Source organism: Homo sapiens, chromosome 7 (assembly GCF_000001405.40).
Source record: "Homo sapiens chromosome 7, GRCh38.p14 Primary Assembly".
Taxonomy (NCBI): Eukaryota; Metazoa; Chordata; class Mammalia; order Primates; family Hominidae; genus Homo; species Homo sapiens.
The window spans coordinates 83,775,018-83,799,275 of NC_000007.14; the positions used below are offsets into that span (position 1 = coordinate 83,775,018).

Consider the following 24,258-nt stretch of genomic DNA (forward strand, 5'->3'; position numbering starts at 1 on the left):
ACTCATACTATGCTACAGTTGGGTAAAATCATCTGGCAACACAGTATACTCTCCAGAGTATACAGTGTACTCTCCAAATCACTTGGCTGACTGGCCCAGCATCACCAGAAAGCATACTACTGCTTTCTGCTGATAGCTATTGCCTTCACATCATGGTAGTTTGAAAATCATTAAGTAGTACCATTGTAAGTCAGCGACCGTTTGTATAATGCTTCATGTGTGGTGATCTGCCAGTCAGAAGGAGTGAATTTCAGGTCCATTGCCAAATGTATACTATTAGCCTGGTGAAGGAAACACATGAACATCTGATTCTAACTGCTAGTGTATAAGGGAATTCTTGCTGCCTTACAATTGCATACTCTGTGTTCTATTTCTTATTGTGTCCCTAGACTATTCTAAAGATGGACTGGAGCTGGGCATTAAATGCATGTTATTTAATGTATAGCAAGAGAGAGAAGTAATGAAGAAAAAAACTATAAATAGATGAAAGATGGTCACATGAAACAGTAATAAAATAATTGTGAATTAATGATATGCTGTAGTATTTTTCACTTATCAGGTTGCAATGGTTTTAAAATGTATGCTGTTCTAATTGGGTGAGAGTATAGAGAAATAATCTCCCATGTACTGTTCAAGATATTTTAAACTGGTGGTATTTCTACAAGGCAATTAGCCATGAATTTATCAAAGTTTTAAAAGTAGTTTTTCCTCAAAATATTAATATTTATTTCACTAAAATATTACTGTTTACTCTTGGAAAATGTATATTTATAGAAATGTATGTATATAAATGTGTAAATGTTTTAAATGTAAAATGTTTCAGTAATTATTAATTGATGGGAAAAATTAAAAATTATATATATTATATATATATATATACACACACACACGCATATATATATGCATATAACATTTGGTTAATCTACATTACATTTCCATGACAGAAATGCTACTATTTTCTTAAGTTTGAATCTGAGCATTGCAAATTTTGATTGTAGATATTTAGAGGTCATTTAGGAGAAAGAGTACTTACCTCTAATTTTACTTGGACTTTTCCAAAAATATTTTCTAAAAGGGATTGGATTTTTTTTTACTCATAAAATGCATATGTCATTAGTCAGTTACCCTCAACATACTTTGAGAAGGGCTACATTGTCAAAATTTTAAAGATGTACACTAAAAGGAGTGTATTGTTAGTAGACTTCACATTTTGAAAAAAAGAGCATCTGGGTAATATAACATGGCCTCGTTTATAAATTTATGAGGTGATATTGGAAATATAATTCATGTTCTGAAACCTAAAATACTAAAATCACATAGATTTTAATGAAACACATGTATTATGTAATACAGTCCATGTATATTATTTGGTACCCACATAGTAAGCCTCATATCACTGCTTTTTTCCCCCATATTGAAATAGGGAAATGTAAATTACATTAATAGCTATTATGGAAATACTAACAAACCCAAAGCATTACATAAACACTATGCTAACAGTTTATTTTGCATAAAAATTTTGACAACTAAATGCAGATGACAGCTTAACTTCAGGATAATCAATGAACTGAGACAAATCAGAAACCAAAAAATTAACAGATGCACAAAAAATATTCTTTTAGCAGATATTTAAAACTAAAAAGTTGTAAATTTGAGATGAACATTTTCTTTAAAATTAAAGTAAACTCTATATTGGTTTCTATCAAGTGAAGTTTTCCCATTATTTTTTCCAAAACGGAGTGAGGCTTAGAATCTTATGAATCTACATTACATTTTTTTTTTTATTTTCCTGAAACCTAAAAAGAAAAAAAAATGCCTTTTGTTTCTAGAAGGCTGGGGCATCTTCATATCAATTTTAGTCTAAATTACTTAAGAAATAATCATTTTTTTTCCAGTCCAGGTTTTGGAGACCAGATTATCATTAACCTGGGATAAATGAAGTTTTGGGAATTTTCCTCACTGCACAATTACTGAAATTTTGATCTTCAGATTTAGTTATGATTGTAGGATATGCTGTTATTCCCTGAACAGTCAGGTGGAAATTGTTGGGCTGGGTTATTTTTCTAGATGCTGCTTCTAAGCGTTAGTCTGCTTCACCTGGTTAATGACCCCGGCATTAACATAAAGTGTTTCCCAATACCACTGCCCATGCTGAGCAAACATGCTTCCCCACCTATTGCTCTCTTGGATCAAAAGCCTATATTTCATTCATTGTTCATTATTCTCTCACATAGTTATGTCTTATTTCAGAGGGTCAGTTGAAGTCCTTTCATTATGGGCCAAATTGTTTCTTTAAAAAATTTTTTGGAAGCCATTGGAATTAGCATGTAATCCAGTTTTGAATGAAAAACTGAAATAACGTCTAAGTTCCAGTTTCTAATTCAGGTCCACGTGAGATGCCTACTTAAAAAATTATCCTCATTTTTAAAGGTATTATACAAAGTAGTTACAGTGAAGTCCTTGACCGAGAAGCCTCCCACGTAGAACAGTGATTTTTAACCACTATTATTGCTTCTATGCTCTAAGTATAACAGATACTCCTCCTTCTTGATGTTTCCATGTCCTCTAGGGAAGGGCATCTTGGAAATCCCAGGATTACTAGGAAACTGGAGTAGGGCGTATCCGGTCATCTAATAATGGTGATATTTATGAAATACTCCTTATTCCCTGGCACTTTGTTAAGCACTTTACATAAACATTGTGTCTTTTAATAAATACAATGCACAAAACAATCTCTTAATGTGAGCACTAATATGAAATCAATTTTTCTAGGAAACTCAGTCTTAGCAAAATTAATTCACCCATGTTGAAAATTAGTGCCTGGTTGGATCATAATTCATGCTCACAACTGTCTGTCTCCAGAGCCACTCCTCTTATCCACTATATTTCTTCTCTTTGACACTAACAATATTCTGTGTTCTTGTTGATGCATACAGTTCTATGGAAGAATAGAACAGGGAACCATTTTTTTTCTAAAACAGTGCAGAATAAATTATATGTTTAAAAAGGAAAATAATCTTATTGTGTCATTCACCATGCATCAATTGTTTCCTAATAGCAATGGGATTTGAACAGAATCTTAGGATACTTAGAAATTTAACATATGGAAAAAAAAGCCATGGTATTTCAAGATAAAGTTATGCCATGAGGAAAGATGCAGGCATGATTGATGAAGCATAATAGCCACTGAAGGTAGAAAAATAAATTTTGTTTGTAGTGGGTCGTCATGGTTATTGATTTTTGCTTGCTCTGTCTTTATGAACTTTAGCACTTCACATAGGGTGTGGGAGGATGACATATTCACAAATAAAAATTACAATGCAGTTTAATAAGTCTAGAATAAGTGTGCCTAAAATACAAACATAATTACCAAGGTAAGAGGCATTCACTTTTCTTGATAGAGCAATGTATTGGGTTTTGTTTTTTTTTTAATGTGAGGATATTTGAATATTTTTATGTAGAACACAAGAGGTCTTTCCAAACAGTGGTAACATGAACAAAGACATAATAGTTTGAAGTAGGATTTTGGATTGAGAGAATGCCTGAAATTATCTTATATGTTCAGACCATGTGTGGGATTATGGCATGGTGAGAGATGAGGACTGTCAGATAGGTAGAGTTCTGAGAAACCTGGTATTTGAGGAAATAGCATCAGATTTGTTTTAGGAAGTGTGGCAGTGTGGAGTTTGTGAAATGAGAGAGATGTAGGGCAGAGAAACCAATTAGTGGAAGATTAATACAGTAGCACAGACTTCAGATAGTGAATCTACCATTAGGAATGGGATTGGAAATATGTGATGCAAAAGTGAGTAAGAGGTACATGGACATATGATGGGTCATAGGAAGAGAGGTTAGTAGGTTATTGAACGACATAAAGGATGAGATGTATAGGAACAGGGTAAGAATCCAGGGTCCTCTTAAAGGGATATACCCATGGACAGCTCCAGGGAATCTTGTGGGAGTGTGGTAGCCAACTAGTGAGCACTGTGCCTCCGTTGTGCTGAGGCTCATACTATTGCTCTTCCCACTGGTGTTGAGAGCGCACCTCCCATCACCTGCAGTTAGCACATTGCTTGCTGACTCTTCAGCATAAGTGAACCCTCTTGAGCGGAAGTACATTTTCCAAGACTTTGCTTCATCCTCACTAGAGTTACCCTCATGTAGCCAATCCTTATATTGTTTCAAGACAGTCACAATCCCCAAAAAAATCAGAAGATGAATCCTGGACCCCCCAAATGTATGAAAAGGAAAGCCTGTCTTCAACATCCCACCCAAGTATTATTAAATAATAATAATCAGTTTGAGTATTTGTCCCTGAGCCAAGACAGTGGAGAAGCACTCCTCTATTGAATTCAAATAGGAATGTATCTATTTTTTTAAAAAAAGGAGAGGATAATAACTCTGTATACTTTTAATGAAGAACCATTGATACAATATATATGAAAGCAAAGATACTTTGAAGAATTACACATAGATTTTTATTATCACTTAATTGACAATTATAATCCATGTATTTCTTTTGCTACATTATCTCCAATTAAACTGAAAAGATTTCAGAATGATAGTTAATTTGTGAATTACGCTGAATTATACCTCTTTGTTTCCTATGAGCCTTTTTCATACTGCCTTATATTGTGGGGTTCTCAGTTTGTATTTGTTGACTCGTCATAGGAAACCTTTAAATGTGTTTGGTGGCAAAATATCTTGGAACTTAATATTAAGGAAAATGTGAAGGAAAACTTTGACTTTATCTGTCACTACTATAAATACTGAGTCATATTATAAAATGTTCAAAGAAAGTCTCTTTGACATTGCCAAGGAAATAAATACAGTGTTAGCATAAAATAATTTCTGGTTTCTGAAGAATGACACCTAATTTTAAAATCAAGTTCTAAGTTAAAAGTTAACTTGTTTTAAATTTCTTTCTTGATTTAGTCTAAGAGACACCACTTACTGGTAAAGCAAGAGTTCATAAATGGTTTGATCTCATCTCATTACATTAATTAGAAGGAGGTAGAAGATAATTTTTACAGTTTACTTCAAAACATTTAAAAAGTTCATCAGAAGTCAATTTTCAATTTTTATGAAGAATAAGACAGAAAGAGACATGGATTCAAAATTCCAAGCCCAATGTCTTTTATATAACTAATGATGTGATTTGACTTTGAATGCAATTTAGACTACAAATTTAATTCTCTACTAATCATTAGTCTTCATTTAAAATATTCTAATTGTGCCTGGGAGAGAAACAGGACATAACTGCTTTTTTTCTTTTTCACGTACACACACGTGTACACACACACACACACACAATGCCTAAAAATTCCTATTCATAAAGGGGGAGAATGGAAGACACACAGTAGATCTCTGCTCATTGCAATTCTGAAATCTGACTGGCAAGACATTGTCAAGGTCTCCAACCTTGAGCATGGGATGGATGTGTATTAAACTGTCTTAAGCTCTATTTCATTTCCTGTATTAAGCCCTAATTCATTTTCCTGTATTAAGCTCTAATTCATTTCCCTAGAAGGAATTATTTCATCCATTTTTCTTCATGGCTCCTCGATCCACCACCCATTTGTAAACTCATTCTAGTCCTTTTTTCTCTTTGGCCACATCTTAAATAAGTGTTAGACAGAATACCTTCCTCTGAGCTGTGGAATATTCAGGCTGTGCTTCATGCTGGTGGAAAATTGGATTCTCAAGGTTGTTACTATTTACTTACTTGTTTTAATTCTGAAGCAGTCAAATTTCTGACTTTTTGACAATAAAATTTTCTCAAATCAGAAGAGCTGCTGATTTGTTTTATTCTAATTTTACATGTACCAGTAATCACATACTCAAAGTTCTTTTCCAGATGTCGTTCTCAAATTTCTCTATTTCATTGCTTTTCACCAACTTGCTTACCTGTTACTTTAATGGTAAACACCTATTTAGGAAAATGAATGGGAAACCATGCCTAAGCTTATTAGTTTCAGATTTGATTTATTACATTTATTTGAGACATTTCACTGGATCTTGTTCAATCCTTTTAAAATTCTATCGCCAACTGCTAGGAGTCTATAAGCATCTAGCTGTCCTAACTCTGGAAGGCACAGAATTTCAGAACTCTCTTCCCTTTTATTTCAGCTTGCAAAATGGCCAATTTGTTCTTAAATTGACCTCCTCCTTTTGATGGTAATATTTTGTTAAAGTAGTCCATAATGTTCAAACTATATTAATTCAGTATAAATATACTAATATACTAATTATACTACTATATTTTTCCAACTATATCCCCTAAAGTTTCCAGATGAATAGGAAATAGGAATAAGAATTGTCTGCTTTCAAGTTACTATATGCAAAAGTTTTATCAAGTGTTTGCTTTTGCAAAATACGGTTCATTATCTTTCTAAATTTCAATGTAAGGTTTCAAACTGTCCTTTTCCTGTTCACTAAACATATAATATATGTTTTAGGTCTTTGTTACAGCTATAGCTCTCATATAATATTGATTTATGAATTAGGATAAGTTATGCGATGGTTAAAAATAAAGCATGAAATCCTAGTGGCTTAGTAACAACAATGTTTATTTCTTGCTCTTGTCAAGATTGTATTGGTCTAGTGTGTATTGGAATTGACAGTCTTTGGCAATTGTCATGGACTGCATGTTTGTGCCTCCTTGCCAAACCCAAACGTTGAAATCCTAACCTCCAATGTGATGGCAAGGCCTTTGGGAAGTGATTGGGTCATGAGAAAGGAGCCCTCATGAATGGGATTCGTGTCTTTATAAGAAGAGGCCAGAAAGCTAGCTCATTCCTTTTCTACCATGTGAGGATACAATGAGATGTTGGTAGTTTACAACCTGGAGGCAGGTCCTTTTTATAATCCAATGATGTTGGCACCATGATCTCCGATTTCCAGCATCCAGAACTACGAAAAATTAATTTTTGTTGATTGTAAGTAACTCAGTCTGTGATATTTTGTTAGAGTAGCCTAAACTGACAGCAGTTTACCTTCAAGCAAGTACTCAGAAATTCAGTCTCTTTTCAGGTTACAATCCTGGTAATTTAAACTCATGGCTCCTAAAAAGGATCAAAAAGGGACCCTGGAGACAGACCAGAAAGTATATATATTATTGTCATCCACTTCCATTGATCAGAAGCAAGAAATGTACTCAATCCAGCTGTAAGAATTTGGAGTCATTCTGTGTTTCCCAAAAGGAGAATTTGATGAACATCTAGGCATTATGTGGAATATTATCTCCTGCTGTTATTTTTTTTTTCAAATATATGAAAAGGATCTCAATATATAGTGTGACAAATGCTTATTAAAGATTATCTAATTAATTAAAGAGACCATCCATCTTCACCTCTCACCAACCGTCTTTGAAATAATATCACTCTTCCAATTTCCTAAAAATAAAACAACTTTTCCATTATTCCTAGTGACATCAATTTTCATTTTGTGTACTGCTCTCTTTCAGCATATCATTGTGAACACTTACTTGGCCTTATTGCTTAACAAATTCTCTTGCATTTGGGGAAAGAAGATTTCACCTTACTTTCTTCTGTAAAACTTCAGAGTTTGCAAGTGGGTAATTCCTAGGAAAAATGTATGCCTGTTTAAGGATAGATTCCTTAACCCCTTGCTCCTTTTTCTTCATTACAGGGAATAAATAATTTTATAGTAACAGTAATCATCAACTGTTTTGATTTGCCATGACCAAAGCAAGTGCTGGACAGCATTCAGTCCCCAAGGTTTTGAGTAATATGGGAGTATCCTTTGGAAATGATTGCTAGATTTAGTTTATCTTACTCCCACTAGAGTCTGAGGTCTGGGAAATGCCAGGGATTGAGTCACCAATCAGTCATCATTATAATTTTGAGATCTGAATCTTTGTTACTCCCATAAGACAGTAAAGGTCACCCGCAGAGTGTGAATCCTCATAACTGCAAGTCTGTAAATTACCTTTAGTGTAGGGCCTTAGAGATATTGACGGAAATGGGAGCATCAGTCTGGTTCTAAATCTGTTCAAACTTTCTGGTTTCTGTTGCATATTCTAATTATGATTCAAACTTCTGTATTTTGGCTTGTGGAATGGAATTCCCAAGAATTTCTCAGTTTTCTGGTAGCAATTACTGAATACCAGCAATCCCAAAGTAAGTAAGTCTGCTTACTTGCAAGATCCCAGGTAGACACCTAGGGAATCAGGACTCTCTTGGTGGCACAGGACAGGTATACCCTAATCTTGGTTGCACTGAACTCTTCTCTTTCCAAAGGACTCTTATTTCATTGCTTACTCCTGAGACTGGTGTAAATACATAAATGTGTTGGTGTGTATATATATGTATGTGTGTATGTATGTGCATGTGTGTGTGTACACCATTTTTTCAACAGATTGAAAATCATAGTAAAAGGGTACACTTGGGTTTGATCTCAAATGATTACTTAATCTTAGGCCCTAAATTCCAGAAGATTACTCCTGAACTGTAATAATTGTAAACCAAAGAGCTCTGTGTTTTTCTCAATATGATTTAAAAAACTCCAAAAAATAAATAATTACCAAAAAGTATAAATTTTACTGATATTTCTTTTAAAAAATAATAAAGGGAACGGCCATGCCAATCTGGGCTGGGCCTAAGAGAACAATTGCAGATATGTTAAGTTTTTCGATGCATGATTAGATGCTTATCAAAAATGAGAAATGATAGGGTTTTAATTGTTTTTATTTTTAAGTGGAAGGTTTTATTATTATCATTTTTACTATTTTCACTTCTGGCTTTTTAACTTTTAACTCATGTTACATACTTTAATACATCATTTTACAGTGCAGGTATATGAGACTTGTATTCTGAGACTATGAAAGCTTTTAAACCTAGCTTTACTAGAGATCATAATATACTTAGTGATCTGGAATGTTTCATAAAAATAAAACTCCATATACTTTTATGTTTGCAAAATGCATAGAATTTTTGCAAATTCAATTATATGCATCAATTTATCTTCTAAGAATTCCCTATCTTGTTAATATAGCAGTCCCTTAGCCTCTGTGGGGGATTGAGTCCAGTACCCTTGTGGATACCAAATTTGCAGATACTCAAGTCCGTTATGGAAAAAGGCTTAGTATTTGCATATAACCTATGCACTTCTTCTGTGTACTTTTAGTCATCTCTAGATTACTTATAATATCTAATACAGGCCGGGTGCGGTGGCTCACACCTGTAATCCCAGCACTTTGGGAGGCAGAGGTGGGCAGATCATGAGGTCAGGAGTTCGAGACTAGCCTGATCAACATGGTGAAGCCCCATCTCTACTAAAAATACAAAAATCAGCCAGGCCTGGTGGCGTGCGCCTGTAATCCCAGCTACTCAGGAGGCTGAGGCAGGAGAATCGGTTGAACCCGGGAGGCAGAGTTTGCAGTGAGCTGAAATCGCACCACTGCACTCCAGCCTGGGTGACAGAGTGAGACTCTGTTTCAAATAATAATAATAATTAATAATAATAATACCTAATAAAATGCCAACACATCACATCATTCAAATGGATTCAGTGAAGTACTCGGTGACAGCAAATTAAAGTATTGTTTTCTGGAACTTAGTATAATTTTTTTTTTAATATTTTCTATCTGCAGTTGGGTTGAACGCATGAACATGAAACCCACAGATATGGAGGGTAAACTGTATCTGTCTACCTTGCCAGATTTAAAAAAAAATTGTGCTGGAGTATCACCATACTTATGGACTGTGATGGCTTTCTGCATCTATGAATGGAATAGTCAATATCAATAGTATGCCATTAAATAAGACCTCCTTCCACACCAATGAACTTAACATTGGCTTCTCTTTAATGCTAGTAAATCAAAACAAAATGAAAGCGATTTTCGACGTTTATATCTGTTGCACATTTTTAAGAATACTGATGTCAAAAGCAACATATTTCCTAGAGAAATACCTTTCACTGGGAAAGTATGGGCATGGCATAAGAGTCTATGTTAATATTATTCTTTCAAGTGTTTTCAATGTATATAAACATGACCTTTTATTGACTCATTGAAGACTCCTAATGGAAATCTTATAGAACATGTTACAATAACTGATCTTTAGGGATTCAAGTTGGTAATTACTCAACTAAATAAAGTGATTGCTTTTCTAATCTGCTCTTGTAATGTTTAGTTAATATGTTCAAAACAAAGCACATAGTGGCACTATTTCTTGTTTCCTTTTTCTTATGAGACTCATGGGACTATTAATGAATTCCAACAGAGCTATTATAAACTGGATCTTATAAATGCATTATGTTTGAAGTTCTGTGCAAATATCACAAATGTGAAGCAGAGAAAACATTTTAAAATATTATTCTAATATTTCAATAGGCGGAGCAATTTTTAAATACTCTGAGAAAGAGCATGTTTCCTCCATGATTTTAAATGTGTAGTGGAAAGCTGTGCTTCCCCATTAGGCCAAGAAAGCATAAAATACTCCGTTTGGAAACAAAACCATCACAGATACTCTTCTTTCCTATCTGACAGAGAGACACATTCTGGAGACTTCAGGTATCAGTACAGAGTGCATATTTCTTTTAATGAATATTCTGGAAATATATCCTCCCTGTCACTGAAGATCCAATATCAAAGTAAAGGTACAAGTTGGGTGAAGCTGAAGAGTTTTGGCTCACATAGCTAGAGTGGAAGAACCCCATAGGGAGGCTGTGAATGTATTCTGACACTTGTTCAGAAGTACAAAAAATAAAATAAAAAGTTTGCTTTGGTAAACTCCAGACATATGGTGACAGAGATAAAACATAATATTAGCTTGGTGCAAAATTAATTACTTTTTTTGACATTACTTTTCATTAAAAAGTAATGAAAAGTAATGGCAAAAACCACATTTACTTTTGCAACCAACCTAATAGCAAGCACAGGTAAATATCTATAATTTGACTCCCGAGACGGGGGCTTTCGCTCAGGATTACTCTGGAAAATCTGGAAAGTTACTATCAGTGTATTCTCTCTCAGTACTACTGGCTCAGGGAACCTAACTGTCATGTTTCCAGGGCTTTGGGCTCTCTTCTCATATGTGTTTTCATAAGAAATCTCATTTACTCATGTGATTCTTATTACTACATATAAACTCATGGGTTGCAACCTTTCCCTGTCTCTGAACTCCAGACTATGCCTTTTTATTGGTGTCTCACAGTACTTCAAAATGAATATGCCTAAAACTGAATTCCTTGTCTTCATGTCTTCATCTCATTAAACACCCCGCCACTTGTTCAGCATTCAGCTTTCGGCGTCTTTTATACTACTTAACTCTGAGGGTAGCAGAGCCATGTATACAGTCACTTAAGTACAAAAAATAAATTAATGAAGAAAAAAGTTCAAGACTGTAGAATTTTTAAAAAGTGATTGTTTTGGTGTGTGATAAAGATATATTGTATTTATATAAAAGATGTTCAAAATTTATGGACAGTGCAGAGATTCTAAGATATATGAGACAATCTGTTGACAAATATTAAACTAATGCACTTTAATCCCTGCCAAAACCTGTTCTTGAAAGTTCTCACCCTAATATAAATTCCAATGTTTGCCTCTCCAAAGCAAGGGCTGACGGGCAGTTGACCTCCTTGGTGAGACAAGACTTTAAGCCAGACTTCTATCTTCAGATAGGATTTTCTAAAGCCTTTCTCTTTTCTTTTAGCATGTGAAGAATCAAGCCTGGAGGGTTCAACTCAAAACTTTCTCCCTTAGTATGGAAAATATACAATTGAGTTTAAGGCTTTCTGTTTTTTATTGGCAGGTGGTTATAAAGTGCTTGAAGAAGCCCATTCTGATCACAGAGATTGGTGCAGAAAATAGGAGTGAGACAGAGATGAAGAGGAATATTTAGTATTCACATGCATGCAGCCAAAGTTTGTTCTCTGGGTGTTTATGGGAGTATAGCATAAGGTCTAAGATTAAGAGCCAGTATTATGTGTGCTTAACATTTGGGGAAAACTGAGAGGGACTTGAATGACCTAACGTCAAGTTGCCCTTCCCACTCTGCTCCTGTGGATAAGGTCCTGTAGCCAAACAACCCTCCTTATCACAAGGACCAGGCATAGTTCCTGCTTATTTCTGAGTATCTGGCTTCAGTCTTCCTGCTAGATCACCAAATTATTCAAATAAAGCAATCATGCTCTCCCACTGGAGTCTGGTGGCACCTCACCCTCTTGACATTATAAAACCTGCCTCCCATGACCTCTCGCAACACCCCCAGTGGCCCTGTGTGGTGTGTAGGATCCTTTTCCACCAGGCTATGAATCTATGGAACTAATAACCTGCTGTCAATCTCACCTAGTCAGTTTTGGATATTATGTATTCAGCCATTCCCATAATCTTAGGAGGATCTCTCCTGTACCAAAAAGATGAAGAGGATGGTGGTGGCTGGGCATGGTGGCTCACGCCTGGTGGATCACCAGGCCAGGAATTCGAGACCAGCCTGGCCAATACGGTGAAACCCTGTTTCTTCTAAAAATACAAAAATTAGCTGGGCATGGTGGTGCGCACCTGTAGTCCCAGCTGCTCGGGAGGCTGAGGCAGGAGAATTGCTTGAACTCGGGAGGCAGAGGTTGCAGTGTGCCAAGATTGGACCACTGCACTCCAGCCTGGGTGACGGAGCAAGACTCCACCTCAAAAAAAAAAAAAAAAAAAAAAAGATACAGTGGTATATATGTCTGGGAATTCCACAAGAATACAGAGTCCTGCCTGTTTTTATTTAGGGCTTTGGAAAGACATCCCTGCACCAAGGAGAAACAAAGCATATTAGAGTGAAGTTGGTGGTAAAGCGTGGTGAAACACAGAATCCCTAGGTGACATGCAAGGAAATGAAAGTTCCTCTGCTACCCAATGCCTTGCCCATAGTACAGTTTTAGTATTTAGTACTTATTGATTTAATAATTGAAATACTGTATGACATGCTGTAAATAGAAAGGAAAGGAAATGACCAATGTTGCAGATTTAGGAGTTGAATTAGGAGAAAAGACCATAATGGAACAGCTAACGACAAAATCAAAGAATCACATGGAGGTTGGTGTTGCGGGATTCACAGGCAAAACCACATTGGAATGCACTTCTCTACCCTTTTCAGTAAATCACAATATGGTTACTTCCTTCTTTTTCTTCAATCTAAAATTCTTTTCTCTTTCTGATATTATCAATGGGAACATAAAAAACTTTGTGAGAGGAATGGAGGCAAAATACTTCCTTGAAATTGTCTCTCTGATTTTCTTTACCTTTAAGGTCTTTCCTTTCCCCTCTCCTCGTCTCTTTACCAACAGCCAATGGAAAGCCATTTAGCTGGATTGGTCTTTATCCTCATTTTACCTGATGGCGTTTGTTGGAAACTTTTTTGGTGGGGGTGGGGAGTGTTAATTTTATATTATTATGTGTAAGTTATTTTTCACTATCCACTTTAAATATAATTAGATAACACTTTTTTAAAAGCCAGTTCCAGCTTTGCTAATTCTTTTTTTTTTTTTTTTTTTTTTTTGAGACAGGGTCTCACTATGTTGTCCTGGCTGGCCTTGAACTGCTGAGCTCAAAGAATCTCCTCGACTCAGCCTCCTGAGTAACTGGGCCTGCAGGTTTGTGCCACCAGGCCTGGCTGGCTTTGCCAACTTTTTAATGTACTATCAATTCTAGAGAAGTATTACTATATAACAAAATTTAATAATAAATATAGCTTTAAATTTTATTCATCAGAATTTTGAGCATGGTAAGTGTATAGTTATTTTCATATGAATTTAAATATTAGATGTTGGAGGAAGGATAAGATCAGGAGAAATAACTAATGGGTACAAGGATTAATACCTGGGTGGCAAAACAATCTGTGCAACAAACCCTCGTGACCTGAGTTTACTTATGTAACAAACCTGTACATGTACCCCTGAACTTAAAATAAAAGTGAAAAAAGTTAAATCTTTATAAAAATTGGGTGGGGTCAAATTGACAAGAACTTCATAACTATTTTAATATTTTTATAATCTAGGCTATATAATTTCCTAGATTATCCACGAAAGTAAAAGGAATGCCTACATTTTTTTTTTTTTTTGAGACAGTGTTTTGCTATTGTTGCCCAGGCTGAAGCGATCATGCAGTGGCATGATCTCGGCTCACTGCAACCTCCGCAGCCAGGGTTGAAACGATTCTCCTGCCTCAGCCTCCCAAGTAGCTGGGATTATAGGCACCTGCCACCACACCCAGGTAATTTTTTTTTTTTTTTTTGTATTTTTGGTAGAGACCGGGATTCACCATTTTGGCCAGGCTGGTCTCAAACTTCTGACCTCAAGCGATCCGCCCGCCTCGGCCCCGCAAAGTGCTGGGATTACGGGCATGAACCACTGTGCCCGGCCCCTACATTTCTTAACTTAGGTATAGAGAAAAAAAATCCTTCAAGCATGACACAAACTCACACATACACAAATGCACACACTCCTGCTTACAAAGTAGATATTTTATTCTCTATCATTTACCAAATTTTTAAATCAAAGTCAGCATTATTTTTCCACATCTTATTAAAGAATTTAGTGTTTGATGGAAATTTGGGGCAATAATTATATTTCTACATATATTATGAAATAAATTCAGTGAATATCATTTGTTTTCGCATCAAAAACTATCAAAATTAGCTTTTTTCTTTGAATAAACTGAAAACAAATGGTTACAGATCCTACCATTACCACACGAGACTGCTTTTGTACATATAGTGTTATCCTTTGAGATCCCTAAGTTTCTACAAACCACGTCATATGTACCTCAGTGTGTTCTGAAAGGAAACGAAATTAAAAAAAAAAATCCATGGAGTATCTAAGTACACTTCTTGTTAAACAATCACTGTTAGTACAGTATGTAATTTTTAAAACAGTTGAGTACTTTTCTTAAAAATGTCAACTTTTGAAATTATTATATGTGGAGCCATTTTCAAGTAGAAGCTGACCTTGGCAATTCTCATATGGCCCTGCCCTTGTCTGATTTTTTAAAAATATAATAGTTATTTTCTTTCTTTCTTTCTTTCTTTTTATAAATTTTTGAGACAGGGTCTCACTCTATCACCCAGGCTGGAGTGCAGTGACACAATCATAGCTCACTGCAGCTGTGATCTCCCACACAATCGATCCTCCCACCTCAGATTCCTGAGTAGCTGGGACTACAGGTGTATGCCACAACATCTGGCTAATTTTTGTATTTTTTAGTAGAGATGGGGTTTCACCATGTTGCCCAGGCTGGTCTCAGGGTCCTGGGCTTAAGTGATCCTCCCACCTTGGCTTTCCAAACTGTTGGATTACAGGTGTGAGCCACCATGCCTGGCTTATAATAGTTATTTTAGTACCTGTCTAATTCTTTGCAAGCAGGGAATTTTTTATTTGCAAGCATGGGTTTGTATTCATATTTACTTTCCTGTGCTGTGTAATACTCTTCTTGACACACAGTAGCTTCTCAATATATATTTGTTTGTATTGAATTTGGTTTATCGACATTGCAAGTTTGAAGTTATGGTATTTCCAGTTGTCTGTTTCTCATATTGTAGGAGAAATAGAATGAGACTCACATTTATCACAATAATCAAGGGACTAATCAGCTCTTGTTGCTAAGGGATAACACTTGCTGGACAGACTGGTTAGCTTAAAAATGGAACCAAATATTTTTGGGGGTATTTTATCTTGTGTTTAATAGGAGGATACATATAGAGAAGGCTACTCGCTTTTAGATAATATATCTTAATTCACATCACTGTCGTTTTTATGTGACTAATATTAAAATATAAACTGTCATTTTGTACATTATATTGACAGACTCATCAGACTTTTAAAGATTAGTTTATTTTGATATTTGTAGAAAAAATGGAGTCTAGTAAAGAATACATTTTCATATTTCAAGTTTTAATTAATTGCTAAGTGCTTTACTTATGAATTTTATGAATATTTTAACCATTTTATAAATTTTCTAATATGTGCCATAAAAAATTGATTTTTTAAATCTTGATGCTCACATGGTTATCATTTAGATTAGATCAATATTTTTGTTTTTTATATCTAGTGCATATTTTAAAAATATAATTATTCTTGCTACTCCTTTTTTAAATTCTGATTTTACTAAATACAATATATTTAAATTATATACAAATCAGGTAAAGAGGTGCCTCAAAGTATGGATGGAAGAAACTGAAAACCTTTAGAATACTAAATTAATTGCACATTTATTTGTGACAACAACTGTTTATAATATCATTGGTAGGCATAAAGAATGTCACTAGGTCCTCCCCGCAGTGCAGGCCAGAATGGCTAATGACTCCCATAAGAAAATGTTTCTGAAAATAGTAATTCACTTCTGTAAGGAGCAAAAGTAAAGAAAAACAAAAACTGTATATTCTTGTCTATTTAATTGCTTTTTTTTCCCTTTTTAAGAAGTAGCTGTAAAATAGTGAGTGGGTTTAAGAGAACAAGCTAATTTAAGAAGGAAAAAAAAGGCACTTGGATTGAAATACCTTGAATCCCCATCAAAAATTTTAGTATTTACATTCTTTTTCCTTATTTGGTGACCTTCAGATTTAACTATTATAGTAAAATCCTACAAAAATGGGAAAGTTGCAATAGGAAATTACTACTAAAATCCTTTAAAAGGTAATAGAACCTCTCTCACTATTTTTTAAAACTTACAGTATTGTTTGATTTTTCTCATAGCTTTTCTGTTGGTTCTGTGAGGAGTGTTTTGTATTTTTTTTCTTCTTCCCCTCCTTTTTCTTTCATGCTCAAAAGCAGTGTAGCATATGCCAATTTCCACTCCACCTGCCTTCTTACCTGTGGTGATATCAGCCTCCAAGGCTATAGTTGCTCCCATGAACTGTGCTTAGACTGTAGAGACATCGTCTCAGAAGTGCTGATGCCATATTCCATGACTCCTGAAAATACCAGAGAGTTATACTACCACCTTGTGCCATGAGTTTCACCCAGCAAGTTAAGTGAAAGGAACTTTTTGAGATGTTTTTATTTTTTCTTTGACCTCATCTATGCTTAGCCACCAATCAAGAACATGCCATGAAGACTGGACAAGAGGAAATTCTGAGCAGCAGATAAAATTCTTCCACTCACACTAGCCCATGTCCATTGCTTTTTGTTGGGGGTAGTCTTCCTTCCTGTAGGATAAGTAGACGTTCATAGGAAGTCCAACATTTCTTCTTGCAAACTGAATCCTGGTGGACTCCATGATCATCCTTTTGCAGGTGCTGCGGTGTCTGACTCCTGTGATGGTCAATTTTGTCTGCCAAGTTGGTACAGCTGCTATAAGTAAAATTGTTTAACTTCTGCAGCTAGTAGAATGGAGTATATGAAAATGATGTAAATTATCATAAATTTAATGAGAGTCTTTCTTGATTTTGACTCAATTTGCCTACTGCTCTCTCAAATCAAGATATTCTTTTCCTTTCTCTTGCTCATAACACTTCAGCAAATACACAAGGAGTACAAGACAGTGCCATACAGCTCCACGCAGAGATCTACTAATCCTAGAAAGTGGTAACTAGCACAGGCATTCTTATTGTTTTAGAAGCAGAAAACCTCAGATCTGTGCAAGAATATGCAAACATTACTGGACCAGTAGAAATCTAAGTGATGGAAACTCACAACTTTAACATCTGAAATGAGAAAAACCATGGGTTAAGATGGAAGTGGGATGAGGAGTGACCATTTTCTACAGTCAATGTTCTAATGAAGATTAATACAAAAATATTCATAGTGTGTAGCGTACAGGGAACAATGAGAAAAGATCATCTATACTGTCTTTCATGAAGATAAATTTTTTTACAGTCATTTAATTATTTCAAGTTGACACTATTTTCTGAATTGGGAAGCATTGAAAATGTATGTGAAACAGACTGTATTTTTTCTAGTTCATATTATCTATCTGCCTGAAAAAACTACCAAACACTATTGTCTAAAATGATTTATACAAATAGATGTATATACAGTCTTCTTTTAGTGTTTATAAAGTCCTGATTAAGGAATACCTTTTCTTACCTGTAGGTACCTGGACATAGAACTTAACTAAAAATTATAATCATACACTTTTATGCACTAAATAGCCTAAACAAGTTAAGAAGTTTATTTCTAGTGCCCCATGCTAAATTGCTACAGTAAACTAACACTTGTTAATGAATTCATATGTTCAATATTTTTTTCAATGTTGTCAAGTTACTGGGGGTGATGGATATTTATGATTACAAATAATTTATCACATTAATGGTATTAAATATTGTTTATGTTACTAAAAATGTAATTTATAATTTCTTACAAAAATTTGTTTATAATTACCTACTTACTTTCTTAGAATACTGAATACTGGTTATAGAAGATCTTTTGTCTACTGAAAGGAAATAAATGCAGTATTTACGATAGTATACACTCATGTATGTGAAGACAACACTAAGTGAAGGTGAGAGGATCCAAGTTTGGAGAAGCTGAGACAAAGCTGAGTTGTCGTGTGTAGGAAATGGAGCAATGTATAGAGATGATTGGTGTGAGATGGTTACTGGACAGAGAAGACTAGAGTCAGTGACTCTGGTGGGGACAGAGGAGAAAAGGATGGCGGGGTGCTCAGACAAAGCCTGCAGCAGAGGATCCCAGAAAGAGAGGTAAAAGGAGACGTTTGGGGGAGGTAAAATGATGTCCATGTGTTGTGTTAAATACCCATTTTATAATTAATGCTTATATAGCACTTATTGTATGCCAGGCCCTATCCAAAGATTTCACATATATTTAGTCATTTTAGTCAGTAGTTATCAGTCACAATATACCTATGAGATAGGTAAATTATTTCCGTTTTATGGATGAGAAAACTGAGGAGGATGAGGCCAAGGTCACTCAGCAAATAAACAGAAGAGGCAGGAGTCCAACTTGAGTTCTAGAATTGGCAGGGCTGACTTTGATGCTATTTTGGGTTTGCTTTTGGGAAAAGAAGAAAACTGTGATGTCCTGATACAGTGCTGGCACATGATGGAAATAGAGGCTGTTTTCTCAACCCGACCATATCTTGGTGTCAAGTACATAATAATACAAAAGAAAGATTCATAGATGATCTCTTTGTGTTATACTTATTTAAGAAGTTTAATTCTATGCCAAATGGCTTGCTGTAACCTAAAAAAAAAGCATTGTTTTTTCTAAATCAACTCTAAACTTGCTTTCGGTTTTATTATGCTATGCCTTGAAAAACTCATAGTGTCTCTTAAACATGCACAGATCTGAGCAGACACCACTTTTAGAGAGAGTCAACTTCAATGTAGAATTAAGATCTGATTCTTCCTGTGGTATTCCTTTTTATTATTAAATAAGCTTATAATGGGTCATAAATATATTGGAAGCTAATTGGTTTTAGTATCAATTAATTGCTACAATATTTATTTATAATCCATTGCTTTATTAAGTTTGATCCTTATGATAGAAATCTGAGATTATTTTTTCTTTTATTAAATATTAAACCATAATTAGCCAAGTTTAGTCCACAAACATGTGCTTACCTATATTTCTTGCTTTCCCTGGAGGTAATAAAAACAAATTATAGTCAATTACCTACAATCATTTATTTCACAAATAAATATCAGAACGTTGAGGCTATGCCCACAGATACTTATTCTGAACAATTGCTCTCTTAAAAAAATAAAAGTATACTATAGGATTTGACAGGTTCTAGGGGCTAAGATTCCTGCAATTATTTTTGTTATTTTTCCTTTTATCATTCTTTCTTCATCTTCTTTTCTTTTAACTCTCTGGCTAAATATGATATGATTTGGAAAAGTTAGTTTATTCTCCTAGGAGACAAACTCTTTCAATACCAAACTGAAGTTCAGTGTCACTCAATACTGACTAGCACAGGGGAAGGAACTCACTGGGAACACCATTTTACAAGAAGCTGACTGCTGAATGGAGCCTATGTAATCGGATGGCAGATGTTGTAAGTAAATCATTGGGATGTCTACCATCAGCCACCTGAGTATTTTTCAGTTGCCACCGAATAGCCATAAATTAATGGAGTGCTGAAAAGTCTGTCGACAATGTCACATGCCTGGAGTGACCAGGCTTTCATCTTTTCTTAGATAAACAAAATAAAGATCAGTCATAATATGATTAGCAGTTTAAAGGGACTGCTTTATTTTTTAACTTGAAAAATAAATGGAGTTTATCTATATCGAACTTTGTAATGAAAATATCCTATATCCCATAAAAATTTGTTAGCTGTCAGTCTCTTTGTTCAAAATAACAGTTAAATAACAAAGATCTATAAAATGAATTATTTCTTAAAAAGTCAGATTAGTTGCTCAAACTAAATGCATGTGTTGTGTAAGAAAGCAATATATATCTGCAAAATTTAAGCTCTGCTTATAAAAAATAAAGTGTAAAATACAAGCTCTGTTTGTAAATTAAAATGACACAGTCCATTTTGTTGATGTTTTTACTTATTCAACACTCTAAGGGCTTTAGGTGTATTTCCATTATACAACAGAAAACACTCCAGGCCTTAGGTGTATTTCCATTATACAACAGAAAGAAATGACATTCTTCCACCTTCTTATGACTATTAGGAGTTTGTTTTCAGTTTTTATAGCTCAAGTCACACCTGTGCTGCTACTCATATAAGTTTAATATATTACAGTCATAAAATGCCTCTGATGGTTGGAATTTGGTTCCCAAGAGATTATCTAAATACTAAGTTTCAGAATTTGTTTAGCAGAGGTTGCTGCTGCTCCTTCAGCACCACTCTCCTTGTCCTCTGCTGTTAGCCCCTAGACTTGTTCTAGTGGGATTAGCCTCAAAGGCCCAATAATGACATTAAATTATAGGCCCAGGAGCAGAAAACTGTTTCAGCCATCAAATTTGCTTAATATTGGCCTTGCCTCTGTTTAGTGTTATGCTACTCTTGAAGGCTGCCCTACCAATGAGCAATTCCCCCGAGCCAGGAAGAAATGTCTACTCTTTGGTTAAAAACATTCTTTCTGTGTTATTTTGTAGTTCTAGTTTCTGCACTGTTATTTGCCCTGGCACAGACCTTCCTTTCAACTCCCTGAAGCACTTCACTTATACATTTCTTACAGCATTTCTCTTACCTTGTCTTGCATTATAGTTACATTTTTACTTATGTTACTGAATTATTAAGTGTTAAGATCATAGAGAGAAAACAATGTCTCTCACTCTTCTCTCTAACTGTTTGTATACTCATCCCAGAGCATGAATTAAATGTTTGTGACTTCCGTTTGACTCTTGCTTTGGTGGCTGAGTGTAATTTTGAGAATTTCAGTTTTTAGGTATTCATTCTTTTTGTTGTTCTAACTAGATAATTTTTTCTTTTCTTTCTTTATTTTCCCTTTTGCAAAATGATTACCTAATTTCAAGCCTAGTATTTTGTAAAACAGCCTGTTCTAAAAGGTTGTTCTAATGTGCTTCCCAACAGTTTTGTAATAACCGTGCCTATGTGTCATTGGACAAAGTAAGGAAAATAATGCAGGTTTAATGGAAAAGCAGACTCCTGATGCCTCACAAAAGATGAGGAATGGCGACTCCTCAGTTATGAGAAAGCAAACAGGAGTAGAATTAGCTCCAGAAAGAAGGATCTTACTGTAGTAGAAAGTTAAGAAGGTTCTGGACATTAATTTGGCTTCCACTTACTAAATAAAGCATAGCAAGTTTAAATATGCCCTCTTTCTCATTTATGAAATGTATGTAGTAACATGTACCTTAAAAAGTTGCTATAAGGATTAAATCTGATAATATTCATTCAACCCATTTACTGGTGGCTTTTTCACGGCAGACTTTGGTCAGTGGTTCATTGTCTGAACCGTCGTGATCAGTTATGGGCCAAAAAGGTTTCAGCTGATATAAGGTCACAGGTGATAGTGCAGAAGGGTTACTATCATAGGGAACCCATAGATCAGAGAACTGAAAATGCTTATCTTGTTTAAAAAATTGCTTAAAGAGCAAGTGCTATCTCTGGTCAATATGTATTCATTCTGAGAAAGACCTTTATACTAATTGGGGATTTCCAAAATAGAGCTACAAGAGTGGGACTTGATGTGGTATATGTGTATTGTGGATATTGCAGAAACAGAATGTCAGAAAAATGAATGCAAAAATGCCTTTCCAACATGATTTTCTATGATTATAGATATACACACATATAATTTACTCTGCATTTTTTTTCCAACAGCAGCAATCTTCCAACTCTTCATACACTAACTGGATGTCCAGCAATTCAATTCAATTCTGACACTAACTATCCAGAGCTAGCATAAACTTCACAGGTTAAGGACTCAGTCCCACAAGACTACTCCCACTTCAGATGACAAAGGCAAGTCACAGTCTCCTGTACTTTTGACCAGCTGCTTATAAACCAGGGATTCCCATGATCCCATTCTCAGGTTCAACAATTTGTTAGAATAGCTCACAGAACTTAGGAAGGCACTTTACTATTACTGATTTATTGTAAAGGATACAACTCAAGAGTAACCAAATAAAAGAGGTCCATAGGGCAAAACATGCCAGGAGATGTGTGAAGCTTCCATGTCTTCTTTGGGCACACTACCTCCCAGTACCTTGTGTTCATCAATCCAGAAGCTCTCCAAGCCCCATTGTTTAGGAGTTTTTATAGAAGTTTCATCATGTAGGCATGATTGACTGTTAAGTCAATTGCCAGCCCCTCTTTCCTCCTTGGAGGTTGCAGGGAATGGGGCTGAAAGTTCCAAGTCTCTAACGGAGGTTCAGTCTTTCTAGTGACCATCCAACCCATTTACTGGTGGCTCTATCACATGGCAGGCTTCGGTCAATGGTTCATTATCTGAACCACTGTGATCAGTTATGGGTCAAATACGGGTTCAACTGATATAGGGTTAGGCCATGCTGAAGTTATTGAGGGATTTGACAAGAGTTGGTTCATTAGAACAAAATACTCTTCTATCACCCAGGAAATTCCACAGGACTTAGGAGCACTATCTCAGGAACCTGACACATAAACAAGATGTATATTTCTTATGTCACATCTGCACACATGCATGCACACATGCACACACACACACATGCATATGTTGTTGTTAGAACAGGTCTAACAATACAAATGTGATTGGTTCTCATTTTGAATTACAAAGAATAAGCATGTCTAGTTGGATTCATCAATGGAGAGATAGAAAACAAGAAAATTCTTGACAATTCTACACAGGCACATGTGAAGAACTGAGCTGAAGACAAAATTTTGGAGTAATCAATATATAAATGTAATTTTAAACCATGAGACTTACTGAGATAATTAAGGGAATTAATACATGTAAAAAATTGAAGATACAGGAAGTGAGGCCTAAGACATTCCAGCTTTAAAGAGGATCAGGAACCAGCAAAGGTAAAGACTAGCCAATAGAAACCAAAAAATGTGAATGATTGTATTTTCCTAAATGACTGCAACATTTCTCATTGCACCTGCTCTTCTTACAATGTAACTTTGACACTCATTCCGTGAAGAGGTGAGTCTCTGTTTTCTCCTCTTATACTTGCCAGGGGCTTTGTGACTGCTCTAAGCAATATTGTCAGTGGAAGTGATATTGTGACTTCTGAGGCTAGGTTATAAAAAGGATACAGCTTCTACTAGGCTTGCTCATTTGGGTATTCTTACTCTGGTGAAGCCAGCAACGATATGGAGCTTGAGGAAGCTCAAACCAGCCCATGTGGAAAAACCACATGGAGAAACCCACACATAGAGGAACTGAGTTTCCCTGTCAACAGCCAGCATCAACCTTGCAAGTGATTTTTGCTCACAGCACTTTCGTTTGCGGTTTCAGACATTTCAGAGTACAACAAAGCCAACGGTGCTGTGCTTGCTCTGAATTCCTGACCCATAGCTTCCGTAGATGTAATAAATGATTGTTTTACAGCTCTAAGTTTTGGAGTAATTTGTTACCTAGTCATAGTAACTGGTACCACAAGTTGGCCATAAGGAGATGCTACCCAGACATCTTAAATAAAAAAAAAAATTATATAGATTAAATACTTTACTTACACAGAAAACAGGTTGTATAGCAATTCCAAATAGTTATTAGTTAATCACTATTGCAATATTTCTTGAGATCCAAGGAAGGGAAGGAGGCTAATATTAATAGTTTTCTATTCATTCATTTATTCAATCAACATTCATTAATTCATTCAATATACAAACATACATACACATACACAGAGATATATATGTATATATAATAAATACATAAATACACACAC

At 35.3% G+C, this 24,258-nt stretch overlaps 2 annotated features.

Moving 5' to 3' along the window:
- Window positions 22,083-22,132: an enhancer, noted in NCBI's record as "active region_26216". NCBI's record gives its function as "activates an Ori minimal core promoter by ATAC-STARR-seq in GM12878 lymphoblastoid cells {active_cell/tissue: GM12878}" and the evidence as "EXISTENCE:reporter gene assay evidence [ECO:0000049][PMID:35858748]".
- Window positions 23,669-23,728: an enhancer, noted in NCBI's record as "active region_26217". NCBI's record gives its function as "activates an Ori minimal core promoter by ATAC-STARR-seq in GM12878 lymphoblastoid cells {active_cell/tissue: GM12878}" and the evidence as "EXISTENCE:reporter gene assay evidence [ECO:0000049][PMID:35858748]".